The sequence below is a fragment of the Homo sapiens genome, chromosome 8 (genome assembly GCF_000001405.40).
Source record: "Homo sapiens chromosome 8, GRCh38.p14 Primary Assembly".
Taxonomy (NCBI): Eukaryota; Metazoa; Chordata; class Mammalia; order Primates; family Hominidae; genus Homo; species Homo sapiens.
This window is the reverse complement of record NC_000008.11, coordinates 19,031,961-19,046,639: the sequence shown is the minus strand read 5'-3', so window position 1 is coordinate 19,046,639 and position 14,679 is coordinate 19,031,961. Positions and strand designations below refer to the sequence as shown.

General features: G+C 40.3%; 1 protein-coding gene across 5 annotated transcripts in view; it reads left to right on the top strand.

The window, feature by feature from the left end:
* PSD3 (pleckstrin and Sec7 domain containing 3) overlaps positions 1-14,679 on the top strand; it is a 557,503-nt gene that overhangs the window by 38,166 nt on the left and 504,658 nt on the right. The window lies entirely within an intron of this gene.

Here is a 14,679-nt window from a genome sequence, read left to right as displayed (position 1 = left end):
AACTCAAGGCAAAGTTATACTTGGGCATTTCAAAAGGCAGAAAGAAATGGTAAGGAATACAGTGCCAAGATTGAGTAAGAATAGGCATGGCCCTTTGTTGAGCCTGACCTCAGCCAGATGCATGATGCTGGGAACTTAACTCATTTGTTGAATGAATAAGTGATGGCCCAATAAAGGAAATCGGTTGCTGCTAAAATGATGAAAAGGTCAGAAGTATAAGATCTAGTTACCGGCCAGGCACGGTGGCTCAGCCTGTAATCCCAACACTTTGGGAGGCTGAGGCGGGCAGATCACGAGGTCAGGAGTTCGAGACTATCCTGGCCAATATGGTGAAACCCCGTCTCTACTAAAAATACAAAAATTACCCAGGTGTGGTGGCACGTGCCTGTAGTCCCAGCTACTCTGGAGGCTGAGGCAGAAGAATCGCTTGAACCTGGGAGGTAGAGGTTGCAGTGAGCCGAGATCAGGCCACAGCACTCTGGCCTGGGCAACAGAGTGAGACTCCATCTCAAAACACCACCAACAACAAAAGATCTAGTTACTTCACCCTTGTTCTATACAATGTTTTCTTGTTTCTTATTGTGTAATCCCTATAAGAGTTTGCTTCCCCAAACTTAACTTGAAATTAATTTCAACCATCCTTGGTAATCATCTTTTAGGGGCAGAGGATAAGGGATGATGGTTATAGCCAGAAAGGAGATTTAAAAGAAATGACTTGAGAATCTAGTGATGATTAGACGTAATGCAAGCCCTGAATTCAACTGGGAATAAAAACACTTACCTGACAGGTTATTGTGAGGATTTAATGAGAATGTTTATAAAGCATCTAGTGGAATGCTAGGACCTAGGAGGTGACCCACAAATGTTAACAGCATCTTCTCCACCCTCCCAACACTAGCTGGTTTTTGGCTAAATCAGATGGCTGGATTCTTTTCCTTCCTTCCATTTCTAGGATTTCCTTCCCCTTTAAATGGAGAAGGTGTTCCTGAAGTAAGGGATAATTACTTACTATCATTCTGTAAAGAGATCTAATCTTTGCCAGAGCAAAGAATTTCCTAATCACTTGGGTAAACTTCTGTAGAATCGGTCCTAGAAACCAGCTACTGAGCACTGCCGCTTTCAAGAGATCTGTGCTGTTGCTTAGAAATGCTTATTGTTTGTCCAGGAAAGAAGCTTGGCTGTGTTCAAGGGCGGCTGGCTACTGTCAGTCTCACCTCCCTTAACACTTTTGTTAAATTCAAAATGAGAGATATATGAGAGGGATATACAGGTCCCTTGTCAACTTTTTCTATTGTCTTGTGAATCTCTTGGTTTCATATCATATTCTCCTTAAAATTTTCCCTTTACTGACTGTAAGAAATAAAGTCCAAACATTCAAAGCTTTCACAATTCGGATATTACTTTTTTACTTTTCTTTTTCTTTTTCTTTCTTTCTGGGTTTTTGTTTTTTTGTTTTTGATGGAGTCTTGCTCCGTCACCCTGGCTGAAGTGCAATGGCATGATTTTGGTTCACTGCAACCTCTGCCTCCGGGGTTCAAGCAATTCTCCTGCCTTAGCCTCCCAAGTAGCTGGGACTACTGGTGTGCACCACCACACTCAGCTAATTTTTGTATTTTTAGTATAGACAGGGTTTCACGATGTTGGACTGGCTGGTCTTGAACTCCTGACCTCAGGTGATCCATCCACCTTGGCCTCCCAAAGTGCTGGGATTACAGGCATGATCCGCCATGCCCAGCCTGGACATTACTTTTCTTAAAAGTCTCATCTCCATCCCACCTTGGAACATGCTTAAGCCTTCACATTTTTCTATACAATCTTTCCCGTCTCTCCACCAAACTCCTATTCATCCTTGAAGAATCTCTTCTGTAAGGCTTTATGGTACCACTGAGCAAAGTTCTCATAGCACTTCCATAGTTCTTTCAATCTCACAGTACATTTGTGTTTTAATTATATTTGTATGTCGTTGTTCTCATTAGACAGCAAACTCCTAGAAACAATTACCTGGCGTTAAAAGTCTTAGTGACAAGATTAAGGACTATGGAATGACTTACAGTGAAAAAGAACAAAAGATACTTTACATTCATTTAATATCTGTAGTAGATGCTTTCTAGGATATAATTGATATAATATTATTTAATCTATTCAACAATCATGTAGGGATTAACACATTTACAGATTAGTCAATGGGCTTAAAGATAGAGTGATTTATTTAGACTAATTAAGGAAGAGCCTAGAATTGAATCCTATCTGACGCTCCAAAGCTCAGGCTCTTGCATTACACCAGGCTGGCTCAGGAAAGGGCAATTATATAATCAAAGGTACAGGCTGGCATTAGTAAATAGCGTGGATTGAGGAGAAAAAGCAGCTAGGAGACCGGAGCAGTAATTCAATAGTAAGGCAATGAGGGCCTAAATAAGATTAATAAATAGAGAACAATCAATGAAAGTGATAAATATTGATAAGCAGGAGCCAAATGGAAAGGTCCTGAAAACGAAAAGCAGATTCGTAGAGCTCATCAGTGTAGCACAGCATCTTACTTGCTTCTGACTGTGGCTGAACCAGAGTTGAGGTGGGTGGCTCTGAGGCCTGTGCAGTAGGGGCAGGCAGAGCACAGTCCTGAGGCTGGACTCCCAGAGGAAGGTGCTCTGGGCCCTGGGGCTGGGATTGCTGCTCAGCAGCTTGTTGAGCAGAAAACAAAGACTCAGATCCTGCAGAAAATATCAGAAAGCAGTTAAAGCCTGTCTTAGTCTATTTTGTGCTGCTATAACAAAATACCACAGACTAGGTAATTTATGTTGAACAGAAAAGTATTGTCTCACCATTCTGGAGGCTGGGAAGTCCAAGACCAAAGGACTGGCATCTGGTAAGGGCCTTCTTGCTGTGTCATCTGTGGCAAAAGGGGAAATGGCAAAAGAAGGAGCCTACTCTCAAAAGCCCTTTTATTAAGGCATTAAGCCCACTCATGAGTGTGGAGCTCTTAGTGCTTAACCACCTCTTAAAAACCCCATCTCCCAATACCATTCCATCGGCAATTTAACTTCAGCATAAGTTTTGGATGGGACAAACGCTCAAACCATAGAAATGCCTATTCAAGATTTCATACAATATGTGGTCATGTTATTTCCCCCAACAACTCTAAACCTAAAGGTAACCTGCAAAAGCAATAGATTGGACCCCAATCTACTAGTTTCTTTCCCAGCCAGAATTTGTTAAGTTCAAGGGGATATTGACAACTGTACAGAAACTGCAGCACATCAGCCCTCCAAAAACACTAACAGACGAGAGAGTTGTTTGTGAGCTCTGTTCAGCTGAGTATCATAGTATGTATGGAAAGGTTTTTGACCTTGAACTACCACTAAAACTGTTCCAAAATCTGTTTATATGGAGTCATTCTGCATGTACAAATTTTTACCACAGCCATTTTGGCCAAATATCCTATTTGCCAGTCTATCATATTTGGCAAGATATGGCCTGATGCTAAACATGGAATTGATCTCTTGGTTAGTAGGCTTCAAGTCTTGGGTCTTTACAGGAATTCTACTCTTTTCTGTTCTGCCCATTTTTTATAAGCCTCTTCTTTCTGTAAGGTCAAAGTAGTTTATGGATAAGAACCAGATTATTGGGGAGAGGAGGTAGGTTGAATTGAGGAACATTTCTTTTTGTCAGTACCTCCAGCCTATTCGTATTGTTGGCCAGCTCACTGGTACAATTAATCTTTTTGATTTTATAACGATGGAAGTTGTGTTTAACTGGAGATGAGAGCAATTAATTTTCTTCTTATAAGGTTGTGCTTTCTTTTTAGGAAGTACAGTTTTTTCATAAGTACTTCAATTAAAAAAGGGAGAGAATTGAACTTTTGGCAGCAAACTCAAACATTATAAGTGAAATTAAGATGCCCAAGTCTGTGCTCAATAGCATTGTATGGGTTTGTGATATGCCTTCAAGCTCTTCATGAATTCAGTTATTTTGAATTCAGTTGTATTTCAGCGACCAAGACAAAAGCATTTTTGTGAGGTGCTTTTTGTTTATATCCCAGGATTTTATTTAGAAAGAAAACTGCACAAATTTCACTGGTATCCAGACATGGTCAACTTTATTGAAAAACAAAACACAAAAACCCTACTTTGCTAGTGGAAAATGTAAGTTTTTTGATATTTCAATCACTAACGTTCTTCTGTTACATATCATTTTCTTTACTTTCTATATAATGGACCTAGATTTAGTGTATCTGTCACTTTGGTTTGAAACGTGTGCCTGAGTTTGCTTGGAGAACATGTTGGGGACTTATCCTCATGTGGAAGCCATCACCCCACATTTCACTGAGCCTCTGGAAGGGAAACAATTTTGCAGAATGTAATTCTAGAAGCTGGGTCACCTGTGAAATCACACTGGCATTTGATATCCTTAAGAAAACAAAAAGGAGCCTACAGGGACAAAATATCATATGTGCAATGTAGGACTCCAGACCTTTCCCTTCCCTTTTATTATGTAACGTTTTAAAAGCCACATGTTCATTCAGCTGTTTCTCATCAGTTTTGTTTTGTTCCCATATAAACACATACACACAAAATAAAAACAATTTTAATAAAGATAAATTGTTTTTTCTCTTAAAGTTTCTTTGATAGTGGAATTCATGTAAAACTCTGAATTATGAAAAAGTTAAAAAAAAATCCAAAATAGAATTTTTTAAAAAATGCAGTTCTGATTGTGTCTTTCGTCTTGTCTCCCCTTTTCAAATATGTTCCTTCATTCTTTTAACCCTCTGTAAAGCCACATAGGAAAGGCACAGTTTTGAAATAATATTAGCAATTAAGGTTTCTGGTTTATTTTTAACAAGGATAAATAATGCGTCAGAAAACTTTTGCAGATTATATCAAAACAGAGGAATGCTTGTTGTTCAGAACATGTCTGGACACATCCCTAGTCTTGTGTCATCTATTTGAAAGCTGCCTGGGCGTAGTCCAATGTGTTTACCTGATACATATTGACTTACAGTTATTTTAGCCGTCTTTGTGGATAACCCAGGTAAGTGCAAGAGATGTAGCATTTCCAGTAGTTACAGCTTTGAAAAGTGACATAGCACACTGGAAAACATTTGCTTGCACTATTTGCACTGAATTTTACTTAAACGAAGCATGGTCACTTGGATGTCCATAGAACTTTATAGCTTTGTGGTTTTCATACACATTCTCTCACTTAATCTTCACAAAGTGCATCCCTTTACCTTGAGTCTAAGGCCCAAGGAATTCTGACTACACATATAACTAAAATGAGTATCGTACAACATTCCCTATGGCACTCCCATAGATAGGATATTAGCTCAGCCAGCTCCAATTAACTTTGTTCTTCTCTGAGTTAATGCATTTCGCAGTTTGCCTCTGGTTTACAGGAGGTAGTGGGCCATAAAAGTAGATGAAGAAGGTTCTATATAAAATGGGATCAAGGTTGGGTGTGGTGGCTTACACCTGCAGTACCAGCACTTTGGGAGGCTGAGGCAGGAGGATTGCTTGAGCCCAGGAGTCGGAGACCAGCCTGGGCAACATAGTGAGACCATGTCTCTATAAAAAACACATTTAAAAATTAGCTGGATGTGGTGGCGTGCACCTATAGTCCCAGCTCTTTGAGAGGCTGAGGCAAGAGGATCACTTGAGCCTGGGCGTTCAAGGCTGCAATGTGCTATGATCGTGTCTCTGCACTCCAGCCTGGGTGACAGAGTGAGACCCTGTCTCAAATAAACAAATAAAATAAAAATAAAATGGGATCAAGCTTCGCAGTGTGTAGAATCTCAGAGTAAGAGACCTTGGATAACCTGTGGTCCAAGAACAACTCATGGACAACATTCCTGATTTCTTCCCTTTTCTAAAGGGATATTACACCTCATCAGTTAGCTTATTCAGTAAGCTCATCACTTGCACCAATATATTCTGGTCCAAGCCACTGTGATCTCTCACCTGGCTGATTGCAGCAGATTCTGAATCGTAAGCAGTCTTCCTGCTGTCACTGTTGTCCTGCCCCAACGCCCGTGCTTTATTCTCCACAGGGCAGAAAGTGATCTTTTAAAATGTAATCAGGCCAAGTTACTCGTGGGCTTAAAATCCTCTAAGGTATCTCATCACAGTTAAAATCTAACTCCAGGCCAAATGCAGTGGCTCACGCCTATAATCCCAACACTTTGGGAGGCAGAGGCATGTGGATCACTTGAGCGCAGGAGTTCGAGACCAGCCTGGGCAACATGGCAAGACCCCCGTCTCTACAAAACATACAAAAATTAGCCAGGGGTGGTGGCGCGTGCCTGTGGTAGCCCCAGCTGCTTGGAAGGCTGAGGTGGGAGATCACTTGAGCCCAAGAGGTTAAGGCTGCAGTGAGCGAAGATCATGCCGCTGCACTCCAGCCCGAGCAACAAAACGAGACCCTGTCTCAAAAAATAAATAAATAAAATAAAATTTAACTGCAAAAGCCTTACCATGGCCTCTGAGGCCTAGGGTCCTGGCTCTTGAGAGGAATCTTGAGATCGTTCCTGTTTCACAACCCATGCTGTCTTTTCCTTCTGCCTGAAAGGCTGTTTCCGTTCATGTTTGTGTGGTGCATTCCCTCATTCATTTAGGTTGGTGCCCAGATATCATCTCCTTACACCATCCTAACTAAAATAAATACCCCCCAACCCTTAAGTCACTGATAAACCCTTAACCTGCTTCATTTTTCTTCACAGTTCTTATTGTTCCTTGATACCATATAATACGTTTATTTGTGCAGATGTTTATTGTCAGCCTCCTGCACTAGACTGTAAGCCCCATGATGGAGGGGACTTTTCTCCTTCATTCTCCACTATTTCCCAGTGTTGTTGCATAGTAGGGTATTCTGTGAATATACATTAATGAGAGGAATAAATTAATTATTAGAAAAACTCTCTTTCCATTTGAAGGCTGTTTATGTGGGATGAGAGATGAATGTAAGACTTCATCCCTGGGTTATTGAAAGAATGATGCAAATGGGACATCAGGAGCCACAGGTGTGAAGGGTTGGGAGGGACATGATATTGTCCAGTAGACTCCCTTAGCCTAGAGAAAGGGTTTGATGAAGACCTCTAGGTCATATAGCAAGCATATCAGGGACTGGAGTCCATGTCTTCTGAGTTCCCTGGCTGGTGTTCTTTCCATGACATCATAGCATCTCTAAGAGTCAGGAGGAGGAGATGAAGTCAGGATACAGAAAAGTAGTTAATGGAAGATGATAAATTCAGCTTGGGACATGCTGAGCTTGAGATGTCACTGGGACATGCAGATACAGATATCATGTGCTGTTAGAATGAAAAACTGAAGCCCAGAAATGAGCACAGATACATGCACTGATTTTGTAATTGAAACTATGGAAAAAGATTTTCAAGGGCAAACAGGAAAAAGTAAGAAAAAGAAGAGTAGGGAAAAGAATGCAAAGGCTCTAACCTTTGCATATGAAAGATGTTTGCAGAGAAAAAAGGATTCCCATGGTCTCACAAAGCCAAGGGAAAAAAGGTCCGTCGAGGAAAAGTCAAGTAAGACAAGGACTAGCAGGTAGAAAGCAGTTTCAGCAGTGTGGAGTTAAAGGTCAAATTGCCGGGGATTAAGATAATGAAGATGAGGGGGCTTAGTGGTTAAGAGCTCTGGAGTTGAACTGCCTGGATTTGGACCCAGACTTCAGCATTTACTGTCTGTCCTTGGGCAAGATTTTAAATCTATCTATGCTTTATTGCCTCATATACTAAATAGGAATAAAACTAATACCCATCACAGAAAGGTGTTGTGAGAAATAAATGAGATAACCTATTTTAATTGCTTAGCCCAGTGTCTAACACATAATAACTACTCAATAAATTTAGGTATTATTTCTCTTGACAGAAGTGTGGGATCTAAGGGCCAGGCTCACACCTTCACAGCACCTTCGGAGGTCAAAATGGGAGGTTCACTTGAGCCCAGTAGTTTGACACCAGCCTGGGCAACATGGCGAGACCCTGTCTCTACAAAAAAATAAAAAAATTAGCTGGGCATGGTGGTACATGCTTGTGGTTTCAGCTATTCAGAAGGCTGAGACAGGGGGATCGCTTGAGCCCAGGAGGTTAAGACTGCAGTAAGTTGCACTACTGCACTGCAGTCTGGGCAACAGAAAGAGACCCTGTCTTAAATAAACAAATAGATAGACAAATAGATAAATAAATAAATGTGGGGTCTAGGGGGAATAGAAAGGTAAGACATAAATTTGAAAGATTAACAGGAAGAAGACTTCTCTTGAGTGATAAAAGTCCTGTAAAAGAAAGAAAAAGGGACCCCAAATTCAGGCAAAGTGGTTAGTTTTAAGGAAAAGAAATTAGACGGTAAGAGAGGAACATAAAACAGATTATGGGGATGAGAGGAGCTCTGGAAAGTTTGATAAAGAGACATGTATTCTAAAGTCGCCTTGTTAGATCAGTTCATAGCCCAGCTTATTAAGAGCTTTTGAGTCCCTCTTTCTGACATGCCACATGTTGGCTGATAATTACAACAATCTGAGGTGATATGGTTTGATAAGCACTGCACAGGGCTAAGGATAGATCAGGATTCAAGGATTAGTTAGGGTGTCCAAGAGGAACAGAACCAGCAGAATCAATAGGAGATTGTATATATAAATAATCTATAATATAAATTTTCTCCTAAAATTATATATATATACTTTTAATGTGTATATAACTTTAATATATATTAAAATCTATATGATTATATATATTAAATATATGTAGAGAGATTTATTATGGGAATTGTCTTATGTGATTATGGAGGCCAAAAAGTCTCATGATCCACTATCTGCAAACTGGAAAACCAAGAAAGCTGGTGGTATAATTCAGTCCAAGTCCGAAGGTCTGAGAATCAGGAACCCATGATGCAAGTTCTGTTCTGAGTGTGAAGGCCCAGAAACTAGAAGTACCAGTGTCCAAATGCAGCAGAAGAGGATGTGCCAGCCTAAATAGAGATGGAACTCACTCGTCCTTTGCCTTTTTGTTCTCTTCAGGCCCTCACCAAACTGGACGATGGCCATTCATATTGGTGAGGATGATTTTCTGTACTCAGTCTACCAATTTGAATATGAATCTCTTCTGGAAACACCCTCACAGACACCCAGAAATAATTTTTTACCAGCTTTGTGGCATCCCTTAGTCCTGTCTGTTTAATACATGAAATCGGCCATCACAAATCCTTCCAGTAACCATAGGAAAGCCCCTGTAAGTTGCCACGGATCTATCATTTGACACAGTCTGGAATCCCAGGGTTGGAGGGTGTCTGAAAGGCCATGTGGCCCAATGTCACCCAAATTCCCTGGACAGCATCTCCAGCAGCCAGTTTTGTATCAGCTGTATTTGGACAGTGTCCCCACTGGTGGCTCTCGGCATCTTGCAAGCAGACCTTTCTCAGGTCAGATTCTTCAGCACAGAAAGTTCTATCATTGATTTGCCATAGGGCCTGAAATTGCCATTTTCAATCATTCCTCAGGCTTAAGCGATCAAAATATCCCTTTAAACCACAAATACGTTACCTGGCAATAGAGTAAGGACTGTAAGAGAGTCCTTTGGCAGTCACATGGGATGATCCCAAGGATAGGTAAATTCTAATTAGTGGTGGGAGTAGGGGCTAGGACACAGGGGATGCTGAAGACAATAAGACACGGCTGAAAGGGTCAATCCTGGGGAGTTGCAACATGGATACACAGGATATTCAGAGGAAGATTAATGTTGAAGTCAAATTCATCCTTCTTCACATCTTTGGCCTCTTCTGGCCCTAGATGAGTATTGAGGTGAACTAGTGTCTAAAGAAGAGCCCTGGTCTGATTCATTACCACCACGTACAAGAGGACATTTCAATGACTGGCAATGAGATAGTCCATTTAATTCATTACATAGTATTCAGCCTGGGGTTCATGAATCTGGTCTAAGTGAGGATAGCTGAAGGCATTCTCAGTTTACGCATGGATAAGATTTCCAACCCAAGCCACATAACCCTACCACAATCCAGATGGAGTCCAGCCCATTCACTCCATCTGCAGCACTCTCTGAGCTCAACTGGTTTGCTTATCTTTGTGTTTCTTTAGTACTTTGTGTTTCCTTATCTGTAAAATACTTTACCTATTAGAAGGCAGAGAGCTGGATTAGAGGATCTCTGGTGGGTTTTTCTGCTTCTAAATTGTATGATATCAGCTATGGGACCTCCAAGACTTGAGAGGTCAATGACAGGAGGCGGGTCTAAAGGAGCTTCAAAATTTCAACCTAGGACAGACTTAGGGTTGGAGGAGAAGGGAGGGGACTGGGCATGGAACTGCACCTTCCTGGTAAGCAGCTGTTTTTATTGAGATTGCATAAGCATTGGGGGCCACTGGGGAAGTTGACAAGATTTGGGGAGATCTAAAGCTCTCCACAAGCAACTCCTTGAGCCATTCTGAAAATAGTTCCTGGTGGGTGATGTGGTTAATTCCTTCAGCTCTGCATTGCCGGCAATCTCCGTCCTCCTTTCTGTATTAGGAAACTAAAAGGCTCAGCAGTGGTGATTTGAACATTGCAACAGCCATTAGAAAATATATTTTTTTTGGCTGGGCATGGTGACTCATGCTTGTAATCCCAGCACTTTGGGAGGCTGAGGCATGCAGATCACTTGAGTCCAGGAGTTCAAGACTAGCCTGGGCAACATGGTGAAACCCTGTCTCTACTAAAAATACAAAAATTAGCCAGGCATAGTGGTATGCACCTGCAATCCCAGCTACTTGAGAGGATGAGGCAGAAGAATGGCTTGAACTCAGGAGGTGGAGGTTGCAGTGAGCTGAGATCGGGTCATAGCACTCCAGGCTGGGCAAAAGAGTGAAATCCAGTCACCCCCACACCCCCCCCAAAAAAAGTATACCTGTTTTCATTGGGATATTTTGGTCATCACTATATGCAGTCATATTCTCTTCTGCCTGAGTGTATAATGTTGGTTAAAATTTGGCCAAAAAAAACGTAACTTTGGGAGGCTGAGGTTGTAGGATTGCTTGAGGCCCAGAGTTTGATACCAGCCTGATCAACATAACAAGAACCTGCCTTTAAACACAAAAAACATAAAAGGGAGACTAGACAATTTTGTTGTTTTTTTTTAACAAATCCTTTTCCTAATTCAAAGATGAAATTATTACTATTAATGGAAAATAAATTGGTTTATTTTGTCCATAAACACTGTGCCATTTATGATAACACTAGCATTAACACTAAACACTGTGTATCCATTAATAGCAGTTTTCATGTTCATAGTGCTTTACCAACAACTAATTAAACGAAACTATTTTAATTTGTTGCCATGGCAGTAAATAGAGATACACAGAAATGGTTGTATCCATCAAATTCATTCTTAATTCCTGAAACATAATTCAGTTTGGGCAATAAATCATTATTATGTAGTGCTATAATATGTTTAAGATGATAATTACTATGTTCATAATGAAAAGATTTGCAAGTATACATAGACACATGCAATATCAAATATTTATGGATGACAATTTTTATATTTGTTACTCAGAAAAGATTTTCCTTTACTGAATCTGATAGTCAAAAATGAACATTTCATCTGCAATCATTACTCTGTTCATATCTTATCTATTATGTTTGCTCCTGAGCATCCATCTCTAGAAGAGTGGCATTAGAATGAAAGAGGCCTCAAAAAAATTTGCCTCTGAATTAACAGAGGGATCTGTTCGTGGTTAGTCTGTGAGGAGAGGGGATGCAGAGGGAGGGCAGGGAGAAGAGACAGTCACTATCTTCACGTATCTGGAGGGCTTTGAAGTGGAAGAACGGGAGTTTTGCTTTGTCCTCTGGGATCCAGACCAGAGTGAACGTGTGGAAGCTACAGGGAGGCAAGTGTGATTCAGCGTGATGTGAAGGCCTCGTCTGGAGTCAAAAAGACTGGGCCCAAATCCAGACTCTGTCCCTTCTGCAAGTCTGGCTACCTAACCACTCTAAGCCACAAGCCTGTTGCAGGGGGTCATCTGGGAACTTCCAAAATAACACACCCAGTAAAGCACTGAGGCCTTCACCTGGTACCTAGCGAGTGATGCATGACTGTCAGCTCTTTATGGGATAGTATTTGTCTTTAAAAGGATGTTAAATGTAGAATTACTGCTTTGCAAGGCAGTGACTCACTTCTCTGGCACGGGAAGTAATGAAGCAGAAACTGGATGACCACCTGTTAAAAATATTGTCTAAGGGTTTCCTGCTTTGAGGGTGAGGTTGAAATCAATGATTTCCAGGTCCATATGATTCCATGAATTTTGCAGAAGGAAGGGAGAAAGGACGTCTAGTTTAATCCTTTAACCTTTTCTATATTGTATTCTTGCTATAATGTGATACCTGGGGGATCTAGGCTGTAACACAATGTTATTGATGAAATGGTATTATAGAGAGCAAACTTTTCTCTTGTAGACTTTTATCCTGAACTAGCCTTAACTCTGGGAAAAAGAGCCACTAATTCTGACGCCCCAGTCTCTGCCAGGTTTTCCTCTGAGATCCATTAGATCCTTTACAAATAGAGATTTTTTTCTCAACTAGCTTTCCTAAGTCTGTGGCCCATTGTGTTTTCACATTACAAACTATTTCCTTTCATATTCAGAATGTTTTCTGTATATAATCACGTTTCCCTAGATATTTATTTATCTTTACCTTGTTGCTTAACCCCTCTATCAGTGAGAGGGCAATGAACCAATCTAGATTTAAATAACATGACCTTCCTTCTCATGTATCTTTCTTTTTCTTTAACAACATTGTATGATGACCAGCTTCTGCCCAGTTGCTGAACGTTTGTACAGAAACCACTAAAATCCATACAGTTATAGAGTTGTTTGTGGGGCTGTGGTGTCAATTCCATCCCAACCACTTATGAGACTTCAATTCCTGGGAGTGCTGCTATCACTAAGATAATTGGGTATGAATGGCAAGGAACCCACTAAAAACCTTCAAGCAAAGCTGAGAGAGAGCCAAGGGAAAAGGGAATGAGAAAATGAGTACTAGGGAGGTGAAAGGGCTAAACATAAATGGTACAAGGAAAGAAAAAAAAACAGATTTTAAAAAAAGAAAAAAAAAAGAGCTCAAAGCAGAGAAGGAAGGAAGAGACGTTTTAAATTGTCCTGATTTTCACATTACATCTACATAGTTCTTGGAAATGGAAGAGAAACACTATTCTTAGAGAGAATCAAAAGTAAACTTCGAAAAATAAAATAGGTAGTAAAAGACAAAAGAAAAATACCAGTTTGCTGTTAGCTGTTCTATAATCAATCATTTACTAGAGGAACTATAACAGTAGAGGCGGAATAAACTAGTATGTCCGGTATGTGCACTTTCCATGTGAAAAAAATTAAAGTAGAAAATCTCACATAAAAAAAATGTTGGTTGTGTATCTTTCTCTATCTATGAAATAACTTTTTAAAAATCACATAACATCTTTTTTTCTGAACCAAATGGATTCAGAATAGGCTCCTGGGTTTGTCTCTCTGTGTGTGGTTTTGTTCCGTTTGTTTGTTTGTTTGTTTGTTTGTTTTGAGATAGGGTCTTGCTATGTTCAGTCTTGCCCAGGCTGGTCTTGAAGTCCTGAGCTCAAGGGATCTTCCCACCTCCGCTTCCCAAGTAGGGATTATAGGCAGGTACCACCATGCCTAGTTAGTTTTTTGTTTTGTTTTTTACTGGTGACATTTATGTGGCATTTTCCTCAAATAAAACTTTTTTGACCATTAAACTAGCCTTCTTAATACTTTCAGAAGTTATTTAACAATAATATGAGCATATTCAACTTATATTCACAAAAAGTGAGATGTAATTTCTACACTCTAACATTAATGTTTAATGTTCATCAGCTATAAGTTACTAATATTTTCTTTGGAAATATTTTCCTACCTGAAAAACTTTAATAGCAGATGAATGTAGCTTACATTACAACATAAATCAACTTGGATTCCTTTCTTTTTTTTTTTTTTTTTTGAGACAGAGTCTTGCTCTGTCACTCAGGCTGGAGTACAGTGGCATGATCTCAGTTCATTGCAGCCTTGGCCTCCCGAGCTCAAGCAATACTCCCACATCAGCCTTCTGAGTAGCTGGGACTACAGGCATGTGCCACTGTGCCTGGCTAATTTTATTTATTTTCTGTAGAGATGGGGTCTCACTACCAGTTCAAGACCCAGGCTGACCTTGAACTACTGAGCACAAGCAATCCTCCCACCTTGGCCTCCCAAAGTGCTGGGATTACAGGAGTGAGCCACCACACCCAGCTGCTTTCAATTTTAATTTGTTTCTAAATATTTTATTTAACATATGAACACGAGTGATAGGCAGATAAACCACATCTCACTTACCATGTGTGTGTGTTTGTTGGGGGGTAGTGCAAGTGGATGAACTGTTGAACTTTTAAAAATAAAAATTCCTCAACAAACTTTATGTCTTTTATATAAAATAAAAGGAAATTATTTTTAACTGTTTGACAAATGAAGACAGTGTTTAGAGTAAAATGACCAGGTAGGGTCCATTGGTTTCAGATTAGCATCCTGTGTTGGTCCCCTCGCTCCAGGTGTTCAGAGGCCTGAGCATCCCATTCCCAAGTCATGTTCAGTGTGCAGAAAGGATTTCCCTAAGCAGGCTATCATTTCTCCAAAATAGAAGAGATTGTGGGATGC